The 26,161-nt window shown below is 42.7% G+C and overlaps 1 pseudogene across 1 annotated transcript in view, besides 2 other annotated features; it reads right to left on the bottom strand.

Moving 5' to 3' along the window:
* The window catches only part of ABCA17P (ATP binding cassette subfamily A member 17, pseudogene), an 85,778-nt pseudogene that overhangs the window by 23,731 nt on the left and 35,886 nt on the right, over nt 1-26,161 (bottom strand). Inside the window, exons 7-9 of the transcript NR_003574.1 lie at nt 23,388-23,541; nt 16,713-16,865; nt 7,031-7,129 (exon numbers count right to left, since the gene is read on the bottom strand). The product of NR_003574.1 is annotated as an ATP binding cassette subfamily A member 17, pseudogene (transcript). The remainder of the gene's footprint in view (nt 1-7,030; nt 7,130-16,712; nt 16,866-23,387; nt 23,542-26,161) is intronic.
* Nucleotides 1,865-2,612: an enhancer, noted in NCBI's record as "H3K27ac-H3K4me1 hESC enhancer chr16:2450358-2451105 (GRCh37/hg19 assembly coordinates)". NCBI's record gives its function as "activates a minimal SCP1, AML or CMV promoter by ChIP-STARR-seq in naive H9 embryonic stem cells {active_cell/tissue: H9 hESC(naive)}" and the evidence as "EXISTENCE:reporter gene assay evidence [ECO:0000049][PMID:30033119]".
* Nucleotides 13,827-14,121: an enhancer, noted in NCBI's record as "tiled region #3130; HepG2 Activating DNase matched - State 8:EnhW". NCBI's record gives its function as "activates a minimal TATA promoter and a strong SV40 promoter by Sharpr-MPRA in HepG2 cells {active_cell/tissue: HepG2}" and the evidence as "EXISTENCE:reporter gene assay evidence [ECO:0000049][PMID:27701403]".

Here is a 26,161-nt window from a genome sequence, read left to right as displayed (position 1 = left end):
TAGCTGGGACTACAGGCACCCGCCACCACGCCCGGCTAATTTTATTTTTCTATTTTTTAGTAGAGACAGGGTTTCACCGTGTTAGCCAGGATGGTCTTGATCTCCTGACCTCATGATCTGCCCGTCTTGGCCTCCCAAAGTGCTAGGATTACAGGCATAAGCCACTGCGCCTGGCCGCAAAGTCTTAAATAAGTCCCAAGTATTGAGTTAACTAACCAATATGTGTGCGTAGGTATGTACATACACAAATATATTTAAAGTATTTGTATATATACACACACACACTAATATGTGTATGTAAAGTGTATATATACTATACACACACACTATATATGTGTATAATGTAAAGTATATATGTACTATATAATAAAATGTAATATATATGTAAAATATATATACTAATATGTGTATATATACACGCACATACTATATATATACACATACTACATATGTATATATACACGCACATACTATATATATACACATACTACATATGTATATATACACACACGTGTATATATACATATTATATATACATTTACAGTGTATATATGTAAGTATATATAATCATATATATATATATAAATAGTATATAGTATGTGTGTGTATGCACACACACACACTTAAATAATAGAGCCTGGGTCTTACTTTGTTGCCCAGGCTGGATTTCAGTGGTGATCATGGCTCATGGCCGCCTCAAATTCCTGGGCTCAAGGGATCCTCTTGCCTCAGCCTCCCAAGTAGCTGGGACTGCAGGCATGGGCCACTGTATCTGGCCTGGAACTAGTTATATAATTACTTACATAATATCCTTGATTATGCTGCTAAGCCTACATAGCATAAAATAGTTACTATGTGGTCCTTTTTTTTAGACATAGTCTCACTCTGTTGCCAAGCTGGAATGCAGTGGCCCTATCTCAGCCTACTGCAACTTCTGCCTTCCAGGTTCAAGCAATTCTCCTGCCTCAGCCTCCGGAGTAGCTGGGACTACAGGTGCAGGCCACCACACCCAGCTAATTTTTGTATTTTTAGTAGAGACGGGGTTTCACCATGTTGGCCAGGATGGTCTCGATCTCTTGACCTCGTGATCTGCCCACCTTGGTCTCCCAAAGTGCTAGGATTACGGGCGTGAGCTACCGCGCCCGGCTGTGTGGCCCTTTAAGAAAAAGTCTGCTGACCCCTGCTCTAGGCAAAAAGATGTGTTTGGTTGGCAGCAAAGTGTCAATGTGCCAGGAAACTATTTCTAGTCAAAGGCTTTGGGCCATCATTCTACTAAGAATTTGTCACACCAAAATAACCCAGGAAATTGACTTTTTTCCTTCAGTATGGTTCTGTAAAACATGGTGTATTTGTTATCTAATGCTGTGACACAGATTATCCCAAAAGTTAGTAGCTTAAAACAACAGTAAAAGTTATTATCTCACACAGTTTCTGGGGGTCTAGAATTTGAGAGTGGCTTAGCTAGGTGTTTCTATATTAAGATTTCTCATGAGGCTGCGGTTAAGCTATTAGCCAGGGCTGCAGTCCCTTGAAGGCTTGACTGGGGCTGGGGCATCTACCTCCATGAGCAGAAAGTTCAGAGAGTTTCCTATATACACATCTCCCACCCTCATTTCCCTATTTTTTTTTTTTCTTTTTTAGACGGAGTCTCTCTCTGTTGCCAGGCTGGAGTGCAATGGTGCAATTTTGGCTCACTGCAACCTCCGCCTCCTGGGTTCAAGCGATTCTCCTGCCTCAGCCTCCTGAGTAGCTAGGATTACACGCGTGAGACACCACGCCCAGCTAATTTTTGTATTTTTAATAGAGACAGGGTTTCACCATGTTGGCCAGGATGGTCTCAATTTCTTGACCTCAGGTGATCTGCCCGCCTCGGCCTCCCAAAATGCTGTTATTACAGGTGTGAGCCACAGTGCCCAGCCCCATTTCCCTGTTTTTAACATCTTGCATTAGGGTGGTACATCGTTACAAATGAAACAGCATTTCCATCAGGTTCTTTTTTTTTTTTTTTTAAGAAATTGATAAGTTTATTTTAAAATTTACATGATAATGTCAAGGATCTACAATACCCAAAACAATCTTCAACAAACAGAATAGGGTCTCAGTTTTCCCATCTGTAAAATGTAGGGGTTGAGCTCTCGCTCTCGCTCTCGCTCTCCCTCTCCCTCTCCCTCTCCCTCCTCCTCCCCCTCCCCACGGTCTCCCTCTCCCTCTCTTTCCAGGGTCTCCCTCTCATGCCGAGCCGAAGCTGGACTGTACTGCTGCCATCTCGGCTCACTGCAACCTCCCTGCCTGGTTCTCCTGCCTCAGCCTGCCGAGTGCCTGCGATTGCAGGCGCGCGCCGCCATGCCTGACGGGTTTTCGTATTTTTTTGGTGGAGACGGGGTTTCGCTGTGTTGGCCGGGCTGGTCTCCAGCTCCTAACCGGGAGTGATCCGCCAGCCTCGGCCTCCCGAGGTGCCGGGATTGCAGACGGAGTCTGGTTCACTCAGTGCTCAGTGGTGCCCAGGCTGGAGTGCAGTGGCGTGATCTCAGCTCGCTACAATCTCCACCTCCCAGCCGCCTGCCTTGGCCCCCCAAAGTGCCGAGATTGCAGCCTCTGCCCGGCCGCCACCCCGTCTGGGAAGTGAGGAGCGTCTCCGCCTGGCCGCCCATCATCTGGGATGTGAGGAGCCCCTCTGCCTGGCTGCCCAGTCTGGAAAGTGAGGAGCGTCTCTGCCCAGCCGCCATCCCATCTAGGAAGTGAGGAGCGCCTCTTCCCGGCCGCCATCCCATCTAGGAAGTGAGGAGCGTCTCTGCCCGGCCGCCCATTGTCTGAGATGTGGGGAGCACCTCTGCCCTGCCACCTCGTCCGGGATGTGAGGAGCATCTCTGCCCGGCCGCCCCGTCTGAGAAGTGAGGAGACCCTCTGCCTGGCAACCGCCCCGTCCGAGAAGTGAGGAGCCCCTCCGCCCAGCAGCCACCCCGTCTGGGAAGTGAGGAGTGTCTCCGCCCGGCAGCCACCTCGTCCGGGAGGGAGGTGGGGGGGTCAGCCCCCCGCCCGGCCAGCCGCCCCGTCCGGGAGGTGAGGGGCGCCTCTGCCCGGCTGGCCCTACTGGGAAGTGAGGAGCCCCTCTGCCCGGCCACCACCCCGTCTGGGAGATGTACCCAAGAGCTCATTGAGAACGGGCCATGATGACAATGGCGGTTTTGTGGAATAGAAAGGCGGGAAAGGTGGGGAAAAGATTGAGAAATCGGATGGTTGCCGTGTCTGTGTAGAAAGAGGTAGACATGGGAGACTTTTCATTTTGTTCTGTACTAAGAAAAATTCTTCTGCCTTGGGATCCTGTTGATCTGTGACCTTACCCCCAACCCTGTGCTCGCTGAAACATGTGCTGTGTCCACTCAGGGTTGAATGGATTAAGGGCGGTGCAAGATGTGCTTTGTTAAACAGATGCTTGAAGGCAGCATGCTCCTTAAGAGTCATCACCACTCCCTAATCTCAAGTACCCAGGGACACAAACACTGCGGAAGGCCGCAGGGTCCTCTGCCTAGGAAAACCAGAGACCTTTGTTCACTTGTTTATCTGCTGACCTTCCCTCCACTATTGTCCTGTGACCCTGCCAAATCCCCCTCTGCGAGAAACACCCAAGAATGATCAATAAAAAAAAAAAAAAAAGAAAAAACAGAATAAAGCTGGGAGAACAATATACTACCTGACTTTAAGATATACTGCAAAGCTACAGCAATCTCAACAATGCAGTACTAGCACAGGACAGACAAACAGATCAATGAAACAGAAGAGGGAATGTAGAGACATACAGTCAACTGATTTTTGGTTAAGGCATCTGAACAACTCAATGTGGAAAAAAAAGTCTTTTCAACAAATAGTCTGTCCCATCTGGATACTTATGTGAAAGAAAATGAGCCTCAACCCCTGTGATATATCATTATCACGAGGCAGTGGTATCATTATATCACACGGGTCAATAAAATATGTTTTCGTTCATAGTTCCTGGCCCGTAACTCGTGTAGCTGTTATTTCTCCCCAAGGCAGTCCACAGAAACTAAAAATATAATCTTCCTGCATCTTTCTGTCTTGGAGCTGGCCATAAAGAAATTCTCTGACCCATCTTGCCTGATTGTAGGTCATAAGACCTCCCCGTTTTAGAAGGTGTCCTATACCATACCCTGGGGGAAAGAACGCTGCACAGAGAGGCCAGGAAGGATCTGAACAGACAGGCCTTGCTGCGTTTCCCCACTCAGACTGTTAGTATTACATCATACTCTTTTTGTCCAGTCTCATTTCTACACAGCTGTCCATGCTTTAGTCATGCCTATCCAATGAAGTCTCCATAGAAGGCCCAAGAGGAGCTTCCAGATAGGTGAACAATTGGAGGTTCCTGGAGGGTGTCACACCCGGGGAGGCCACAGAGGCTCCATACCCTTTCCCACATACCTCACCCTATGCGTCTCTTCTTCTGTATCCTTTGTACTATCCTTATAATAAACTGGGAAATGTGTTTCCCTGCGTTCTGTGAGCCACTTTAGCAAATTAATTGAACCTAAGGAGGGGGTAATAGGATCGCTAGTTTACAGCTGGTCGGTCAGAAGTACAGGTAAGTGTGTGGTAGCTAACCCTGTAATCCCAGCTACTCAGGAAGCTGAGGCAGGAGGATCACTTGAGCCCAGCCCAAGAGATAGAGACCAGCCTGAGCAACATAGTGAGGCCTTGTCTCTTAAAATAAATAAATAAATAAATAAATAAATAAATAAAGGACAGGTAAAACAACCTGGGGCTTGTGATTGACACTGGAAGTGAGAAGTCTTGTGGAACCTAGCCCTCGACCTGTGGGATCTGATGCTATCTCCAAATAGTGTCAGAATTGAATTGGAGGACACTTAGCTGGTGTCTGCTGCAGAACTGATTGCTTGCTTGCTGTTGGCGGGAAATTCCCACACATTTTGTCATAGAAGTCTTCTGTGTTGATTGCTGTGATGTGAGAGCAGAAGAAAAACAGTGTATGTTTTTCCATTTCACCTCTTATCAAACCGTACACAAGGCTGGGCACTGTGGCTCACGCCTATAATCCCAACACTTTGGGAAGCCGAGGTGGGAAGATTGCTTGAGCCCAGGAGTTAGAGACCAGCCTGGGCAATATTGCAAGACCTCGTCTCTACAAAATATAAAAAACCTAGCCAGGCGTGGTGTGCATCTGTAGTCCCACCTACTTGGGAGGCTGAGGTGGGATCACTTAAGCTCAGGAGCTGGAGACTGCAGTGAGCTGTGATCACACCACTGCACTCCAGCCTGGGTGACAGAGTGAGACCTTGTCTTGCATACACACACACACACACACACACACACACACACACACACAACCATACACAAAAATTAATAGAAAATGGGTCACAGACCTAATGTAAAAGCTAAAATGATAAAATTCCTAGAACAAAAAGTAGAAGCATGACTTTGTGACCTAAGGGTAGGGAAATATTTTTTAGAAAGGATACAGAACACAGTAACTATAAAAAAAATTTAGGGGCCAGGCATGGTGGCTTACGCCTGTAATCCCAGCACTTTGGGAGGCCAAGGTGGGCAGATCACCTGAGGTCAGGAGTTTGAGACCAACCTGGCCAACATGGTGAAACCCCGTCTCTACCAAAATACAAAAAGTTAGCTGGGCGTGGTGGCGTGCACCTGTAGTCCCAGCTACTCGGGAGGCTGAGGCAGGGGAATCCCTTGAACCTAGACGGCGGAAGTTGCAGTGAGCCAAGATCATGCCAGTGTACTCCAGCCGAGGTGACAGAGTGTGACCCTGTCTCAAAAAAATAAAATAAAAAGCTACCACTAAGAATATTAAGAAGCAAGCCACATACTGGAAGAAAATGTAGATAAAACACGTATCTGACAAAGATTTATATCTAGAATATACAAAAATTTCAAAAACTCAAAAAATGAAAACTGAGCTACAGGTTTAATAATTGCATACCTTTTGGTATATATGTTATACTTCAACAAAAATGTAAGTATTTAAAAAACTGGCTGTGTGTAGTGGCTCATGCCTGTAATCCCAGCACTTTGGGAGGCCAAGGGGGTGGATAGCTTGAGCCTAGGAGTTTGAGACCAGCCTGGTCAACATAATGAGACCTCATCTCCACAAAAAAGAAAATACTCTCAATGGAAGTGTTTAGCTGAAGATCAGAAACATCTGCAGAGAGAATCAACGACCTGGATGTAGATCAGAAGATATTATGTAGAGTGCAGCTCAGAGAGACAAAGAGTTGGAAAATATTTAAAAAGTTAAAATTCACATAGTAGAGTGATAAGATCTAATATGTCTAATTGGAGTTCCAAAACGAGAGGAGATATTTGAGCAGAGGCCCTGTATGAACAGATAATAATAGCTGGGGATTCTAAACTCATGGAAGATTTCCATAGCCAGACATCAATCAAGTCTCAAGTAGAATATGCATGTATCAAAATATCACATGTATCCCAGACATATGCACATTATGGATCAATAAAATTTGTTTAAAGACCAGGTGCAATGGCTCATACCTGTAATCCCAGCACTTTGGGAGGCCAAGGTGGGTGGATCACTTGAGGTCAGGAGATCGAGACCAGCCTGGCCAACATGGTGAATCCCCATCTCTACTAAAAATACAAAAGTTACCTGTAATCTCAGGCACTTTGGAAGGTTGAGGCAGGCAGATCACTTGAGGTCGGGAGTTTGAGACCAGCCTGGCCAACATAGTGAAACCTCATCTGTACTAAAAGTACAAAAATCAGTTGGGTGTGGTGGCAGGCGCCTGTAGCCCCAGCTACTCAGGAGGCTGAGGCAGGAGAATTGCTTGAACCTGGGATGCAGAGGCTGCAGTGAGCCAAGATTCAGGTATCCCTGTTATTGGAAGTACTAGTCAGAGGCTGGAAGGCCATTCAGTGAGGTTGCTACAGAAAAGATTCAAGCATCAGGCAATGTTTAGACAGATGACCTTTAAGATCCCTTCCAACCCTAAGAACCTTGGAGTCTTACAGTTTTATACGTGCTTACCTTATGAAGACATCCTCCATGGTCATGACAGAGGCCCCAAAGCTGGAGATGCCCAGCTCTACCTGCCTCAGTTCCAAGTCAGTAAATAGAGATTCAAACCTGGAAGGAAAGAAATGGTTTTAGTCCTGAAAGGTGTAAGGTGAATCCCTTTCATCACTGCCCTTGGCTCTCTACTGGGGAAAAAGCATGGACTTTGGAGTCAGGAACGTATTTTTTCAAACACCAGCTTTGTCATTAGCTTTATAACTATGTGAATGTCAGGGGCCCTTCACAGTTTTTTACCTATTAACTCTGTATTAAGGTCTGTGGATGCTTTCAACAGCTCTTTGAGGACAGTGCTGAGAAGTTAAGAAACTTCCCTGAGGCCACACAGCCAGAAGCAGAAGAGCCAGGACTCAAGCTCAGGCCTTTCGTCTCCAGAGAGAGTGGTTTTAATTGTTATTTAAGCGAGGAAAGGAGATAATTCTTTTAGCCTGCTAATGTTAAAACCTTTCTCAAACATGCTTTCCATTTTTTTTAAATTAAAACAATCATGGCTTTTGTTTGTGATATTAAGAAATCCATCATAATGTTCTATAATGAAGGCTTCTATTCTCTCACAACCTAGTGTCCAACTTTTAAGAAACCAGACACATATGCCAGATGCCTATACGAGGTCTGCAGGGGCTTTGTGTGTGTCCCTGTGAGCAGACAATGGTTATAAACTAATCATGGCTGGGTTTGAGTCTAGACTCTGTCACTTACAAGTTTTGTGACTTTGAGCTAGTTGTTTCACCTTTCCAAATCTTCCCTCACCTGTAAGACAGATATTACCTAATTCAAAAAGTTGTAAGGATTGAGAAAAATGTAAAGATGCTTAGCAAAGTAGCCCCCCTGTGTTAAATATTCAGCAAATACTATTTACTGAATATGATCAACAGTCACACCCTCAGTATGTTCACTATCTTGCTCTTCATTCAGTTTCCAGTTACTGAAATTGTACTCATGCTATTGCTACTGTCTTGCCAACAAGATCACAGTAACCATTTTAAAATATTGAGGCAGAATTTAGGTAAACTATCTTGTTCTTACATGTATAGTTTGATGAGTTTTGACAAATGTGTAATATCACCCTAATCAAGACACCGAACATTCCATCACCCTAGAAAATGCCCCCATGTCCCCTTTGATGAGTCCCTCTCTTGCCCTCAGACAACCAAATGTCCTAAATTTTACATTAGTTTTACTTCTTCTTGCTCTTCATGTAAATGGAATCATATGGTCTTTTCATCTCTTGCTTCATCCATGTAACATGTTTTTGAGGTTAAACCGTGTTGCATGCATTAGTTCATTCTCGTAAATTGCAGAGCAGCATTCAACAAAAGGAATATATCTATTCTCCTGTTGATAGACATTTGAATTGTTCCTGTGTAAGGATGCTTATGCATAAAGCAGCTATAAATGTTCTTCTATGTGTCCTGTGTCTGGACATATGTTTTCATTTATCTTGAATAACACAGTAGATAAATGATAGCTACAAATTCTTTGCTACTTTTCCCACTGAGAGGTGGCCTTTAATTCCCTTTTATCTGGGCTGGCCTTAGTGTCTTGCTTGACTGAGAGGATGCAATGCAAGTAATGGATGTTGGGTAGAAGAAGCCTTCAGGTATCTTGATTTCTTTGGGAGCCCCAAGCCACCAGGTAAGATGCCTCACTACCTTGAAACCAGGCTGAATCCATGCCAAGGCACAGACATGTGAACAAAGCCTCCAGATAAGTCCACTCCCCAACTTGTGTTTTGTTAAAGGCTTTTATGTCTATGCCCATGAGGATATTAGTCTATAATTTCCTGTTGTCATAGGGACTTTTCCAGGTTTTGGTATCAGGGTTGTGCTGGCCTTAAAATGAGTTGGGAAGTGTTTCCTTCTCTATTTTCTAAAAGATTGAGATTATTTTTTTCTTCAATGTTTCATAGAATCTGGAGTTCTCTTTTTGGGAATACTTTTGATTGCAAATTCAATTTCATGAATAGATATATGGTTATTCAGATTTTTCTGCTTCATTTTGTAAGTTTTGGTAAATTGCATTGTTTAAGAAATCAGTCCATTTTACCTAAAGTGTCCAATTTATTTACATGTGATATTTTATTATTATCCTTTTTGTAACTCTAGGCTCTGTAACTATAGCAGTACTTTCCTTACTGGTGCTAGTTAATTTTCTTTTTTTCTTTAATGGTCTTGGAATTAATGGTTTATCATTTAATGGTTTATCAATATAATTTATCAATTTTATTAATCTTTTAAAATAACTTTTTGCTTTTTAGCTTTTTAGCATTTTGGCCTTTCTCAATTTTCTTTTTGTTTCTTATTACATTATTTTCTCCCCCTATATTTTTCATTTCTTCTCTTCCACATAATCTGGGTTTAATTTTCTCTTCTTTTCCTACCTTTTCCGTTGGAAACAGGTAAATGATTTTAAGCCCCTTTTCTTTTCAAATGTAAGTTTTTAAAAGCTATATATTTCTAAGCACTGCCTCAGTAGCATCTGAAAATTTTTGATACATTGTATTTTCATCATCATTCAGTTAAAAATATTTTCCACTTTTTTTTTCTTTTTTTTTTTGAGATGGAGTCTCACTCTGTTGCCAGGCTGGAGTGCAGTGGCGCAATCTCGGCTCACTGCAACCTCTGCCTCCTGGGTTCAAGCAATTCTCCCGCCTCAGCCTCCTGAGTAGGTGGGACTACAGGCACACGCCACCACGCCCAGCTAATTTTTGCATTTTTAGTAGAGACGGGGTTTCACCATGGTGGCCAGGATGGTCTCAATCTCTTGACCTTGTGATCCACCCGCGTTGGCCTCCCAAAGTGCTGGGATTACAGGCGTGAGCCACCGTGCCCGGCCTCCACTTTTTCTTTGACCCATGAGTTATTCAGAAGTATGTTGTTTAACTCTCAAATATTTGTGGATTTTTTAGATATCTCTTTTTTTTTTTTTTTTTTTTTGAGATGAAGTCTCACTCTATCACCCAGGCTGGAGGGTGGTGGTAAGATCTCAGCTCACTGCAACCTCCGCCACCTGGGTTGAAGCGACTCTCTTGCCTCAGTCTCCTGAGTAGCTGGGATTACAGGCACGCGCCACCATGCCAGGCTAATTTTTGTATTTTTAGCAGAGATAGGGTTTTACCATGTTGGTCGGGCTGGTCTCGAACCCCTGACCTCAGGTGATCCACCCACCTTGGCCTCCCAAAGTGCTGGGATTACAGGTGTGAGCCACCACGCCCAGCCAATTATCTAGATATCTTATTGTAATCAATTTCTAATTTAATTCCCTTGTAGTCAGAGATCATAACCCACGATTTCAATTTTTTGAAATTTATTTGGACTTATTTCACATGAGCATACCCTCCCACTAAAACTGGACAAAAATATATATGAAGCCATTTCAGATATTAAGCATTAGGAAGTCCAGGACCATGTTTGATTCTTGAGAGAAGAGAAACACTAAAGAGAGACCTATATTTGCCCCAGCTCTTTGGCTTGGGCACTTTCTAGAACATGGCCCAGAAAAGTAAAGGCAAATCAGAGTGTAGCAGTGAACTTGCTGAGCTGAGAAGGTAGAGATGAGAAGACAGAGCTTCTGAAATGTATGGACTTTGTGGGACTAGGACAAGAGAGGAGAAGCTGGTAGGGGAGGGCCCAAGTAATCCATTATGGTAAATATCCCCTAGGCATTTGGAGAGAATGGGTGTTCTGCAGCTGTAGTCTGTAGTGTCTATCTGCAGGAAGTAAGTGTGATGACAGTATTATCAAAATATTTTATATCCTTAGTGAGTTTTTTGTCTACTTGCTCTATAAATCACTGAGGAAAGGGTGCCATAATCTCCAAAATGGTTGGGATTTTGACTTCATCTATTTTTGTCAACATTCTCTTTATGTATTTTGAAGCTCTGTTATGAGGCACATGCACATAAACAACTGTTAGGTCTTCCTGGTGTACTGACTCTCATTATGCACTGTCTCTATTTCTGTGACATAGCTACTCTGAGAAGATGGCCTAACAATTTCTGCCCTCCCTGATTGAGCATGGCACATCTCACATCAAGAAGTGGTGCTTACTTCCCCTCCCCTTTGGCTGCTCTGAGCAATAGAATGTGACGGAAGTGTTGTGTTGGTATTTCTGAGCCCAGGCCTTAAGAGACGTGGCTGTCTTTGCTTTCTTTTGAAACATGCACTCTTGGGATGCTTCTTCTTGGAACCCAGCTGTCATGCTATGAGACACTCAAACCACACCGAGAACCTACATGGAGGGGTACTGGGTGCACCAGTCAGCAGCCCTAGTGAGCTCCCAGTTGATAGCCAGTACCATCATCCCAGACATGAGAATGAACCATCTCGGATATTCCAACCCATTCTAGGCCCCAGATACCTGTAGCCCCAGCCAACATTATTTAGAGCATAATGTCTGTCCAGCTGAGCCCAGGCAAGCTACAGAATCATGATCGGCAGTAAAATGGTTGTCATATGAAGTCAGAAAACTTGGGGATAATTTGTTATATAGTATACAACTGAAACAAAATTTGGCACCAGAAGCACTGTGACAAAAACCTACAACATCTGGCATGGCTGTGGGACCAGATAGCAGGATGAAGGCAAGAGGAGCCTCAAGGGAACTCTAGACAGAGGCTGGAAGAACAGTGAGGAAATTGTTATTTCTCATGTTATTTGGTGCAGAAGGTTTGGCAACACTCTTACCTGCAGTAACAAGAAAGATTGAAAGGGTATTTAATGAGCTTGTGGATAAGTTCCTATGGAGATTTCCAGTTATAATGTTGAAAGTGCCAGCTGGTTTCTTATAGCTGCCTATGATTTAACCACGAGAGAAATAAATTTAAAAAGGAAATAATCAAATGTTCATCAGAATTTTAGAGAAAAAAGGCCAGGCACGGTGGCTCACGCCTGTAATCCCTGCACTTTAGGAGGCCGAGGCAGGTGGGTCACCTGAGATCAGGAGTTCGAAACCAGCTTGGCCAACGTGGCGAAACTCCATCTACTAAAAATACAAAAAATTGGCCAGGCCTGGTGGCAGGTGCCTGTAATCCCAGCTACTTAGGAGGCTGAGGCAGAAGAATAGCTTGAAGCTGGGAGGCGGAGGTTGCAGTGAGCCTAAATCATGCCACTGTACTCCAGCCTGGATGACAGAGCAAGACTCTGTCTCAAAAAGAAAAAAAAAAAAAATATATATATATATATATATATACAGAGAGAGAGAGAGAGAGAGAGAGAGAGAGCCCAGGACAGTATTTCCAGTTTGGAAAAGGTTCTCAAATTTCTCAGAACTAAAATGAAAGCCAAAATGATGCCAATAAAATACTTTTTCAGGATAAATATCAGATTAACTGTGCAGCTATAAGGTCCTTTGTCAAGACCTCAGAAAGGTTTAAAAGTGCACCTCTCAAATGTGGTGTGCTGAAGCTGACTTATACAAGCTCTTGAGAGCCAATTGTTAAATTTTCAGAAATTCTGTGAGCTGGTTGTTACAACCATTTAAAAAAATTAAGTTATATAAATTTAAAATTAACGAATCACAGTAAAGGGAAGGTATTAATTAAAACTCACTGATTCCTCATTCTTTTACTCCATTGTATTTAATACTATTATCTATGTTCTTGAGGTTATTTAACTCTATTGTGTCTTTAGGGTAGGAATATTACAGAGTGTTACTGAACATTTCTTCCCAATGCCACATTCAGTAATTTCACTCTGGTAACATGAAATTGGCTGTGGTGGGAGTATTTACACCACAGACATCAGCAAAAGCTGCAAATCAGGCCTTACTAATTGTCTTGTTGGCTGTTTAGACTCAAGAAAGTGTTAGAATGTTTAAAAGAATGTCATGCCATTATATGATGACTAGCATTAAAAAAAAAATCTGGCAAATAATAGCTGAACTGCAACCATAGTTGACTATGAATATGAGAGTTTGGCAAACATCAACATAAACGTACTGTGAGACTAAATTGGCTAAATGAAAGTTACAATAAAGAATACTGTATATTTTATCATGATTTGTAAATTGTGTGCTACACATTCTTTATATCAGTAAAATTTATAATACAATTATATACATATATATGCATACTTTTTTTCATGGAGAATAGCTAAATATTTAGCAGCACACATACCACTGCTCACAGACTCTCATCATCTGGACAAAAGCTTTTAAAAACCATAATGGTTCTGGGCACAGTGGCTCATGCTTGTAATCCCAGCACTTTGGGAGGCCGAGGCAGGCGGATCACCTGAGGTCAGAAGTTTGAGATCAGCCTGGCCAACATGGTGAAATCCCATCTTTACTAAAAAAGAACAAACATTTAGCTGGGTGTGGTGGTGCACGCCCATAATCCCAGCTACTCGGGAAGCTGAGGTGGGAGAATCACTTGAACCCAGGAGCTGGAGGTTGCAGTGAGCCGAGATCACACCACTGCACTCCAGCCTGGGTGACAGAGTGAGGCTCCATCTCAAAAAAATAGAATAAAATAATTAAAAAAAATTAAAATCATAACAGTGTTGTCCCATATCTCCATGGCTCTCAGCCCAAGGTAGACAGACTTGTGTTGAAGATATTGTGAGTGTGGCCATAGTCTAACAAACTGTATTTCATAATGTGATACATAGGAAACCTACAAAGTATTTAAATAAATTGTATCAGCTTACACAAAAAGGGACAGAGAGAGTTCAAAGTGAAAAGTGGCCTCTAGTCAACCTCCTACAAGCAGGAAGCAGGCAAATGAAGCTGCTCTGCTACAAATGTCAACCATCTTTCATGAAAAACGAAGTATCCACACTATTTAAGAGGCAGAGCCAATAGCCTCGCAGAGTCAACAGCCCAGCTGAGTCAACAGCCCAGCACAGCCAACAGCCCAGCTGAGTCAACAGCCCAGCAGAGCCAACAGCCCAGCAGAGCCAACAGCACAGCTGAGTCAACAGCTCAGGCTCACAGTAGCTGCTCTGTGCTATGCACCATGAACTCTTAGCCTGCTCTTGTACAGCCCAGCCCTCAGCCACAGATTCAAGTGAACCTGCACAGAGACTTTTGGGGCCCTCCCTCTCTTACCAGCTTTCTCTTCTCCTGTCCTAGTCCCACAAAGTCCAGACACTTCAGGAGCTCTGACCTCTCATCTCTACCTTCTCAGCTCAGCAAGTTCACTGCTACACTCTGATTTGCCTTTACTTTTCTGGGCCATGTTTTGGAAAGTGCCCAAGCCGAAGAGCTGGGGCAAATATAGGCCTCTCTTTAGTGTTTCTCTTCTCTGAAGAATCAAACATGGTCCTGGACTTCCTAATGCTTAATATCTGAAATGGCTTCATATATTTTTGTCGAGTTTTAGTGGGAGAGTATGCTCTTTATCAGTTACTCCATCATGACTGGAAGCAGAAGTGACTTCTGTTTTTAAATTTATGATGAGATTTTGTTTGTGTGTTGAGGAGTCTGGCTCATGGTTAAAAACCCATGTATGATTTTTCAGGCCCGACTATAGGTAATTACAAGGTTTTACCTGGCAGGCCTCACAGGGATAGCTGCCCTGGCTGCATCAGACTTGGGGCCAGCCACTGCAGCACTGTGCTCTCTGAAGGGAGGTGGGGTTAAGGACTCAGGCCTCTCCTGGCTGGCCATGCTCTTATCTGCATTCCTAAGTAAATTATTATATGTGGATGAATACATGGTGATTTCTTTTTGACATATTATGGGAAATTTTATTGATAAATGATACTATCAAACAATCCTTTCAATATGGTATAGTAGTCTTTCAATGAACTACATGGTGCAGTATTCTTTCAGTGATCTGCTAGATTATATTAACCCATATTAGTAAAAAGGAGCAGGGAGATTTTGTTTGTTTGTTTGTTTTTGAGACAGGGTCTCACTCTTTTGCCCAGGCTGGAGTACTGTGGCATGATCACGGCTCACTGTGGCCTTGACTTCCCAGGCTCAAGCGTTCTTTCTGCCTTAGCCTCCCGAGTAGCTGGGACTACAGATGTGCACCACCAAGCCTGGCTCTTTCTTTTCTTTCTTTCTTCCTTCCTTCCTTCCTTTCCTTCTCTCTCTTTCTTTCTTTTTTTCTGTTGAGACAGGTCTTCCTGTCTTGCCCAAGCTGTTCTCAAACTCCAGGGCTCAAGTGATCCTCCTGCTTCAGCCCCACAAGGTACTGGGATTATAAGCATGGGCCACTACTGCCAGCCTGTATTTTTTTAATGTTCTCTGGAAGACTTTGAATAAAATCAAAATTATATTTTCTTTAAATATTTGATAAAAGTGATCAGGTTTATAAAAACTTTTTGGTATTTATTGAGTCAATTTTAATAAAATTATTTTTCTGGACAGTCTACCATTATATTCAGGTTTTCTAATATATTAGTTTAAAACTGTACAAAATATTGTCTTCTAATTTTTTGGTATCTATGGGTTTTTTCCCCCAATTCTCAATTCCAATTTTACATATTTGTGCTTATTCTCCATTCATCTTTAAGAGGCTTCTTTTCTCCAGGCCTCTTTGCAAGGTCCCTCTCTGTGGAACCTCGAATTTTAGGAGCGCTTCAGGAACTGTTTGTAAGCTCCTTTGTTTCTTTCTCTATGTTTTCTTCCTACCTGACCGTATCCCTTCCCACAACTTTAAATACTTCTACAAGCAGATGACTCCCATGCATTTCCAGGCTGACCCTCTCCTCAATGCCCAGCTTCATTCACATCCAACTGCCTTCTTGATGTCTCCACTAGGGTGGCTCAGGGGCCTTTCAAATGTAAAGAATTCTTAACTGACCTTTTCATAACCACCTCTCTCAACACTGCTTGTCTCCCATTCTTTCCCACTGCCACTTGGGAGTGGCCAGACAGGTAGGAGTAAAACCCCCAAGGAGTAAATTTTGCCAAGGAAGCCAAGAGAGAAGAGTGTTTCAAGAAGAAAGAAATGGTTAACTACGTAACTGATGTTGTGGGGTTGAGTATGGTTAGGGTAAAAAGTTATCGCTATGTCTTAGTTCTTAGGTTGCATAGAGGGTTCACTAGTGCTCATTCTGTTATTTACACTTCATAATTACATATATGAAACATATATTTACAGGTATAAAATATTACCCAATAATTTTTATTTTTTTATTTTTTATTTTTTAATTTTTTTTTCAGACAGGGTCTCTCTCTGAAGCCCAGGCTGGAGTGCCATGGCATGATCTCGGCTCACTGCAACCTCCACCTCCTGAGTTCAAGCGATTCTTCTGCCTCAGCCTCCCAAGTAGCTGGGATTACAGATGCCTGCCACCATGCCCGGCTAATTTTTGTATTTTTAGTAGAGACGAGGTTTCCCCATGTTGGCCAGGTTGGTCTCGAACTCTTGACCTCAGGTGATCCACTCGCTTCGGCTTCCCAAAGTGCTAGGATTACAGGCATGAGCCACTGCGCCCAGCCTTTTTTTTTTTAAAAAAAGAAATAGAAAGTAGGCCAGGCGCGGTGGCTCACACCTGTAATCCCAGCACTATGGGAGACCGAGGCAGGCAGATCACAAGGTCAGCAGATCGAGACCATCCTGGCTAACACGGTGAAATCCCATCTCTACTAAAAATACAAAAAATTAGCCAGGAGTGGTGGCGGGCGCCTGTAGTCCCAGGTCGAGCAGGAGGGGAACCCACTGCCTCCAGTCCCACCGCCGCACCTTGGAGCCTGCGATGAGGGCGATGCCGATGGAGAGCTTGCGGCTCATGCCCCCGCTCAGGAAGCGGCTCCGTGAGTTCCACTTGTCCTCCAGGCCTATGATGTGCAGCACCTGCTTGACTTCAGGGCACTTCTGACGTGACAGGCCCTTCAGCTGCAACGACAGGGGACGCAGGGAGATGCAGGGCTCCTGGCGGGAGGCCGACCCTGACCAGCGAACATTTTGTTGTGTGTATACATATACATAAAAACTTACACCAGAAACTCATTACCTTCAGGGAAAGGGATGGACAAAGGCTTTTGCATTTGAACCATGTAAATAAACTTACGATGTTAAAAAGTAAATACAGCAGCATGTTAAAGGGTTATTCATCACAACCAAGTGGGATTTATCTCAGGAATGCAAGGGAGGCTGAGCACATGAAAAACCAGGGTTTCAGTTTTTATAATAAAGAACTGGCTGGCCCTTGTCCCTGGTTCCTGGAAAGAAGCCTGTAAATGCTTAAAATTTCTGGAGTAATAGGAGTATCTTTGTTCCTCATAGTGGATCTCCACCCTGCCATCATCATACCTGAGTTTATGCTAAGGAGGTGACTCAGGATGTGGGATGGTCACACTAGAAAGACCAGCCATGTGATTAGAAGGCTGGGGCTTTGAGCTATGTGATGTCACCCTGCCTCCGAGTTTCCTGGGTTGTGGAAAGAACGCTGGAGATGGAGTTCAATGATGTGGCCAATGCTTCAATCATTCATGCTTGTGTAATAAAACCCCAATAAAAACTGGATACTCAAAGCTTAGGTGAGCTAACCCAATAGACACCAATATGCTGGGAGGGTGCTACGTCCTGAGGACACAGAAGCTTTGCATTTGGGACTCTCCCAGACCCCACCCATGCAGCTATTTTGTTGGCCTGTCCTGAATTGTATCCTCTAGAATAGAACTATAATCATAAGTATAGTACTTTCCTGAGTTCTGTCAGTTGTTCTAGTGAATTAACAAACCTGAGAGAATAGTGGGACTTCCACAATTGCAGCCAGTTTGTCAGAAGTGCTTTGTTTGTTTGGGAACCTCCAAGCTTGTGGGTTCCAAAGTGGGGGCAATCTTGTGGGGGACTATACCTCTAATGTGTGAAGCCTATGCTAACTCTATTGTTAAAGTCACACTTTTTTTTTTGGTCTTTTTTTTCTCCTTTTTTCTTTGGAGAATGGGGTCTCGCTATATTGCCCAGGCAAGCCTTGAACTCCTGGGCTCGAGCTATCCTCCCGCCTCTGTCTCCCTAAGAGCAGGGATTACATGCACGAGCCACCACACCCAGCCCATTGTTAGAGTCAAACTGCACTGCAGTAATATAGCATATTTAACAGAAAGAAGGGCCAAAATCACATGACAATCTCAGTAGACACAGAAAAGCATTTGACAAAATCCAACACACTTTCATGATAAAAACACTCAGCAAACTAGGAATGGAAAGGAACTTCCTCAGCATGATGAAAGGCATCTATGAAAAAAACACAGATAGCATCACACCTAATGGTGAAACTGAAAGCTTCCCCCACAAAGATCAGGAACAAGACAAGGATGTCTGCTCTTGCCACTTTATTCAACATTCTACTGGAAGTTGTAGCCAGGGAAATTAGCCAGAAAAAAAAAGTCATCGAGACTGAAAGAAAGACGTAAAACTATTGCCTCTTGGCAGATCACATAAACTTATATATAGAAAACATTAAAGAATCCACAAAAAGCTATTAGAGCTAATAAATGAGCCTAGGAAAATGTCAGGATATAAGATAAATATACAAATGGGAGTTGTATTTCTTTACACTAGCAGTGAACAATCCAAAAATGAAATTACAAAAATAAATTCCATTTACATTAGTATCACAAAAGAGAAAATATTTAGAAATAAATTTAATCAAGGAAGTGCAAGAAAGGCAAGTACACTGAAAACTGTAAAACATGGCTGAAAGAAGTTAAAGAAGACCTAAATAAATGGAAATACCTTTTGTGTTCATAGATTGGAACACTTAATTTTGTTAATATGACATTACTATCCAAAGCAATCTAGAGGCTGGGTGCAGTGGCTCATACCTGTAATCCCAGCATTTTGGGAGGCCGAAGTGGGTGGATCACCTGAGGTCAGGAGGTCGAGATCAGCCTGGCCAACATGGTGAAACCCTGTCTCTACTAAAAATACAAAAAAATTAGCCAGGCATGGTGGCACACACCTGTAATCCCAGCTACTCGGGAGTCAGAGGCAGGAGAATCGCTTGAACCCAGGAGGCAGTGGTTGCAGTGAGCTGAGATTGAGCCTTTGCACTCCAGCCTAGGCAACAGAGCAAGACTCCATCTCAAAAAAATAAAAATAAACACAAAGCAATCTAGAGATTCAATGTAATCCCTACTAAAATTCCAATACCTTATTATTATTATTATTATTTTTTTTTTTTGCAAAAATAGGCAAGCTGATCCTAAAAATTCATATAGAAATGCAAGGGACTCAGAATAGCCAAAACAATCTTAAAAAGAAGAACAAAGTTGGAGGACTCATATTTCCTAATTTCAAAACTTCCTAGAAAGTTACAGTCATTGAGACATTGTGGTACTGGCATAACAACCGACATATGGAACAATGGAATAGAATTGGGAGTCTAGAAACAATCCCATATATCTATGGTAAATAGACTTTTTACAAGGATGCCATGACCATTCAATGGGGAAGGAATAGTCTTTTCAACAAATAGTGCTGAGACAACTTAATATCTATATGAAAAAGAATAAATGTAGACCCATACCTCACACCATATACAAAAATGTACTCATAATGGACCAAAGATCTAAATCTAAGAACCAAAGCTATGAAATCTTAAAAAGAAATATAAGTATAAATCCTAGACGATAATTTTTAAAATATAATAGCAAAAGCGTAAGTAACAAATAAAAAAAAGATAAATTAGATTTCATCAAAATTTAAAACTTTTGTTTTAAATTTAAAAATACTATCAATAAAGGGAAAAGACAATCCACAGAGTAGGAGAAAATATTTGCAAATCATATAACTAACAAGGGCCTAGGATCTAGAATATACACTTAAAAACTTTTTACAGGCTGGGTGCGGTGGCTCACGACTATAATCTCACTTAGCACTCTGAAAGACGAAGGCGAGAGGATCATTTGAACTCAGGAGTTTGAGACCAGCCTGGGCAACATGGTAAAACCCCATTTTTACAAAAAAATACGAAAATTAGCCAGGCAATTGGCCTGTACCTGTGGTCCCAGCTACTTGCGAGGCTGAGGCAGGATGATCACTTGAGCCTGGGAGGCAGAGATTGCAGTGAGGTGAGATCCTGTCACTGCACTCCAGCCTGGGCAACAAAGTGAGAGGTGAGAGGCTGTCTCAAAAAAAAAAAAAAAAAAAGCTGGGCACAGTGGCTCACATCTGTAATCCCAGCACTTTGGGAGGCTGAGGCTGGTGGATCGCCTGAGGTCAGGAGTTTGAAACCAGCCTGGCCAACATGGTGAAACCCTGTTTCTACTAAAAATACAAAAAAAAAAAAAAAAAAAAAAAATCAGTCAGGCGTGGTGGTGCACGTCTGTAATCCCAGCTGCTGAGGAGGCTAAGGCAGGAGAATCGCTTGAACCTGGGAGGCAGAGGATGCAGTGAGCCAAGATCGCACCATTGCACTCCAGCCTGGGTGACAGAGTGAGACTTCATCTCAAAAAAAAAAAAATGGAAAGAAAACAAAAACAAAAAAAACTCTTACAGCTCAACTACAAAAAGATAAAGAACCCAACCAAAAAAACAGGCAAAGGACTGGAATAGATATCTCTCCAAAGAAGTATACAAATAGCCAATAAGCACATGAAGAGATGCTCAACATTATTAGTCAACAGAGAAATGCAAATCAAAACCACAAGGTACTACTTCACACTAACGGCAATTTCTCAAAAAGTAAAACAAACAAACAAACAAAAAAGTTAAACATAGAGTTACCATCTGACCCATTAATTTCACTTATAGGTATTTACCCAAAATAACTGAAAATAGGTGTTCAAACAAAAACGTGAACACTAATGTTCATAGCAGCACTATTCACAATAGCCAAAGGGTGAAAGCAACCCGATGTCCATCAGCTGAGGAATGGGCAAACATTCAGGTGAGTAGAATGGATATTATGCAGCTATTAAAAGGAGTGAAGTACAAATATATACTAAAATATGGATAAACCTTGAAAACATTATGTTAAGTGAAATAAGCCAGACATAAAAAGCCACATATTGTATGACTCCATTTATATGAAATATCCAGGATAGGCAAACCCATAGAAACAGAAAGCAGATTAGTGGTTGCCAGGGACTAGGGGAAGGGAGCAATGGGAAGTCACTGATAATGTGTATAAGTTTATTTTGTGGGCAATGAAAATGTTCTGCAATAAGATAGTGGTGATGGTTACATGGCATTGTGAGTATACAGGCTGGGCACGGTGGCTCATACCTGTAATCCTAGCACTTTGGGAGGCTGAGGTGGGTGGATCACTTGAGGTCAGGAGTTTGAGACAAGCCTGGCCAACATGGCGAAACCCCATCTCTACTAACAATATAAAAATTAGGCCAGGCCCAGCACTTTGGGAAGCCGAGGCGGGTGGATCATGAGATCAGGAGATTGAGACCATCCTGGCCAACATGGTGAAACCCTGTGTCTACTAAAAATACAAAAATGCTGGGTGTGGTGGCATGCGCCTGTAGTCCCAGCTACTCAAGAGGCTGAGGCAGGAGAATCACTTGAACCCGGGAGGCAGAGGTTGCAGTGAGCCAAGATTGCGCCACTGCACTGCAGCCTGGGTGACAGAGTGCGACTCCGTCTCAAAAAAAAAAAGCACACACACACACAAATTAGCTAGGCATGGTTGCAGGTGCACGTAATCCCAGCTACTTGGGAGGCTGAGGCACGAGAATCGCTTGAACCCAGGAGGTGGAGGCTGCAGCGAGCTGAGATGGTGCTACTGCATTCCAGCCTGGGCAACAGAGTGAGACTCTGAAAAAAACAACAACAACAAAACAACAAAACACTGTGAGTATACTAAAAACTACTGAATTGAATATTGTAAAATGAGTAAAATGATGAATTTCACGTTATGTGAATTTTGTCTCAATAAAAAGTAAAAAATATATAAAAATTCAAATACAGTCATTTGTAGAAATCCTTTAACTCAGAAATCTTGACTTAAACGCCATGCCCTTCACCCTTCCTGAATGTTTAAGGAATAGTGTCCAGAAGAGGTTTCAAGACTGACATAATAAAAAAATATATATTTGGTCTCTGCCCTGGTTCCTGGCACTGAGCTCCTAAAGCCCTTGTAATTTCCTGAGTGACAAAGCTGCTAGAAGCATCTTTTGTTCTAATATTTGGTCTTCGATTTGATATTTGATTTGGTTTCTTACACAGAATTCCCAACTCCCTTGGAATTTCCTGAGTGATAGGAGCATCTTTTTGTTCTAGGGAGGCAACTTTTGGTGGGCTCCTGGACTGCTTCAGGATGTGAGCTAGTCACCAGAAAGACCAAGCCATGGTTAGAAGCTTGGAAATTTCAGACCAGGCGTGGTGGCTCGTGCCTGTAATCCCAGCACTTTCAGAGGCTGAGGCCGGTGGATCTCTTGAGGTCAGGAGTTCGTGACCAGCCTGGCCAACATGGTGAAACCTCATCTCTACTAAAAATAAAATTTAAAAAATTAGCTGGGCCTGGTGGTGGGCACCTGTAATCCCAGCTACTCAGGAGGCTGAGTCAGGAGAATCGCTTGAACCTGGGAGGTGGAGGAGCCAAGATCACGCCATTGCACTTCAGCCTGGGCAACAGAGAAAGACTCCGTCTCAAAAAAAAAAAAAAGCTTGGACATTTCAGCCTCACCCCCAATCCTCCAGGGAGTGGGAGAGGGATTGGAGGCTGTGCTAATAACTGGTCATGACCACATGATGTAGCCTGCCTAAAAATATCTAAACTATGGGCTCTGAAGAGTTACCGGGTTGGTGAATACACTGAGGTGCTGCCAAGGTGGTATACTAGGACAGGGCATGGAAGTTCTGCACTGCTTTTCACACACCTTGTCCTGTGTACCTCTTTATCTGGTTGTTCATGTGTATCCTTCATAATACCCTCTATAATAAAGGGTTTTGTGAGCTTTTATAACAAATTATCAAACCTAAGGAGGAGGTTGTCGGAACCCCCAAACAACAGCCAGTTGGTCAGAAGTACAGGTAACAACCTGGAACTTGCAACTGACATCTGAAGTCAGGGATGGGGGCAATCTTGTGAGACTGAGCCTTAAACCTGTGGAGTCTGCATTAACTTTAGATAGTCAGCATTAAGAACTGAATTGTAGGACACTCAGTTGCTATCCGCAGAGTTGGAGAATTGGTTGGTGTGGGAAAACTCCACATACATTTGGTGTCAGAAGTGTTGAGAATAGAGAAACACAAGTTTTCATTTTAAAGACACTCCCAGGAGGTTGCAGTGAGCTGAGATCACGCCACTGCACTCCAGCCTGGTGACAGAGCAAGACTCCATCTCAAAAAAAAAAAAAAAAAAGACCTACCCTGAGTTGAATCAGAGAGCTGCAGTCTATCTCATCATTCCCAAGAGTGGATACAGAGGAAACAAATCCCTGTTATCCATCGACTCACCTGACCATAGAAAGAAAGATGTTCTGCTACTGTTAACTTATCAGATAAGACATCATGTTGGGGCACCAGCCCAGGCTCTTCCTAATGTGAAATATCTCTTGTGAAATTTCATATCCATTGACATATGCACATCCACTTGTAGGGGGAATAAGACCTAGAACCAAGGGGAAGACAAGATACTGAAGTTATCTTCAGTCAGAGCACACAGCAGCACGAAGGCCCGATGATACTTTCTGCTTTGTTCACTTGTTCTCACACACACTGTCCTTATACTACTTCTTTGCCACAGTCAGTGAAATCAGCAGCATCCAAGGAGTATGTATGTTCTATGCATGACAATGTACCAGGATGTGTGGGGAGTATTAGAGATAGGAGATATCCTCCCTACTTTTGAGAAATTCCAGTGAGTTAAATGAATAAAACACACATAGGCACATGTAAAAGCAAATTACATTACTGTAAGTATTAAATAATAATTTGGATGCCTAGTAAATATGATTAAGAAAAGTTTTGTGGGAATCTAACAGTTTTGAATTGAGACCCCTGAAGGCAAGTTCTCTGACTTATCTCTGATTCTTAATAAGTATCTGTTCAATGAATGAATAAATAAATGAATGTTCTCATTGCCAAATGTATGCCAGCATAAAATTTTGCAGCCTGCCTACCCGCATACTATCATTGTCTTTATTCTTATTTTCTAGGTATTTTTTCTGGTTGAAAAAGGCAATAAATTCTTATTACAACAAGGTCAAAAAAAGGTATAACAAAGAAAACAAGTTATACAAATCCTATCATTAAAAGATAACTTCATTTCACTTTGGGAGGCCGAGGCGAGCGGATCACAAGGTCAGGAGATCGAGACCATCCTGGCTAAAACAGTGAAACCCCGTCTCTACTAAAAATACAAAAAATTAGCCGGGCGTGGTGGCGGGGGCCTGTAGTCCCAGCTCCTCAGGAGGCTGAGGCAGGAGAATGGTGTGAACCCAGGAGGCAGAGCTTGCAGTGAGCTGAGATCACGCCACTGCACTCCAGCCTGGGCGACAGAGCGAGACTCTGTCTCAAAAACAACAACAACAATAAAAATAAAAAAAAAAACAAACTTCTGTTAACATTTTGCTATATAGCCTTAGGTATTTTTTATGTAAAAAATAAATGTACTCAAAAATTTATTTTAATTATTAATTAATGTACTCATACATTTATTTTTTAACACAAATGAGAATATAAGTATAAATTCTAGTTTTCTAACTGGCTTTTTTTTTTTTTTTTGAGACAGGGTCTGGCTCTGTTGCCCAGGCTAAAGTGCAGCAGCATGATCTCAGTTCACTACAGCCTCTATCTCCCGAGTTCAAGTGATTCTCATGCCTCAGCCTCCTGAGGAGCTGAGATTACAGGTGTGTGCCCCCAAACCCAGCTATTTTTTGTATTTTTAGTAGAGATGAGGTTTCAGCACGTTGGCCAGGCTGGTCTAACTGGCTTTTTCATTTAACAATGTATTGAGGCCATTTGTCCACATCAACAAAATCTTTTCTTTTTTTTTTTTTTTGAGACAGGCTAGGCTCTTGCTCTATTGCCCAGGCTCGGGGCGGTAGTGTGATCACGACTCACTGCAGCCTCGACCTCCTGGGCTCAAGTGATCTTCCCACCTCAGTAGCTGGGACTACTGGTGTGCGTCATTTTTTTGTATATTTTTTGTAGAGATGGGGTTTTGTCATGTTGCCCAGCCTGGTCTCAAACTCCTGGGCTCAAGTGATCTACCTGCCTCTGCCTTCCAAAGTGCTAAGATTACAGGCATGAGCCACAGCACCCGGCCCTATATCATTTTTAAGGCCTAAAAAGATTTTGTTTTTATGAACATACCCTATTTCTTGATTCAGTCCAGACTAATGGATGCTTACGTTATTTGCAATTTTTCACAAGTATAAACCTGTGATATAACTTTGACTGCTTCCCAATTATTTCCTTATTCTAAATCAATATAAGTAGATTTGGCAGGTCAAAGATGGGACAAGACTTGAAAGGATTTTGATACTTATTGCCAAATCACCCTCTGGTTGTTAGATCTTCCATTTTGGCTGTGAATAAGAAAGCATCCATGATTGTTTGGGGGTGGGGGGGGAAGGGGAGAAGGTAATACTATTGTAGAGTAAATGTAACAAGTCTTTTAATGTAAAGTTATAATAACAAAAGAACTAAATAGAACTCAAAAAAGAAACAAAAAACCACATAACTTTACTGGACATGGCGTTTAAGATACAAAACATGCCTGTGCCAGGTTTTGGGCCTTTCTACCACCAATTACGATACAGAAGTCCTTTGCTGTCCGATGTCCTAGGCAATCAGCCAGATTTTCCTTCCCTGCTCAGCATCTTCAAGGCTACTGAATCCCATTGTGTATCCTTTAGTGATGCCACTTTCCCCAGGGCAGTGTTAGCTTTTTTTTTTTTTTTGTGATGGAGTCTTGCTCTGTCGCCCAGGCTGGAGTGCAGTGGTGCAATCTCGGCTTACTGCAAGCTCTGCCTCCCAGGTTCACGCCATTCTCCTGCCTCAGCTTCCCAAGTAGCTGGGACTACAGGCGCCCGCCACCATGCCTGGCTAATTTTTTGTATTTTTAGTAGAGACGGGGTTTCACCGTGTTGGACAGGATAGTCTTGATCTCCTGACCTCGTGATCCTCCCGCCTCGGCCTCCCAAAGTGCTGGGATTACAGGCGTGAGCCACCGTGCCCAGCCAGTGTTAGCTTTTTTTATGCCATGTCACCAATGGCAGAAATCC

The sequence above is a fragment of the Homo sapiens genome, chromosome 16 (genome assembly GCF_000001405.40).
Source record: "Homo sapiens chromosome 16, GRCh38.p14 Primary Assembly".
Lineage (NCBI taxonomy): Eukaryota > Metazoa > Chordata > Mammalia > Primates > Hominidae > Homo > Homo sapiens.
Note: the sequence above shows the minus strand (reverse complement) of the source record. Positions and strands in the feature narration are given on the sequence as shown.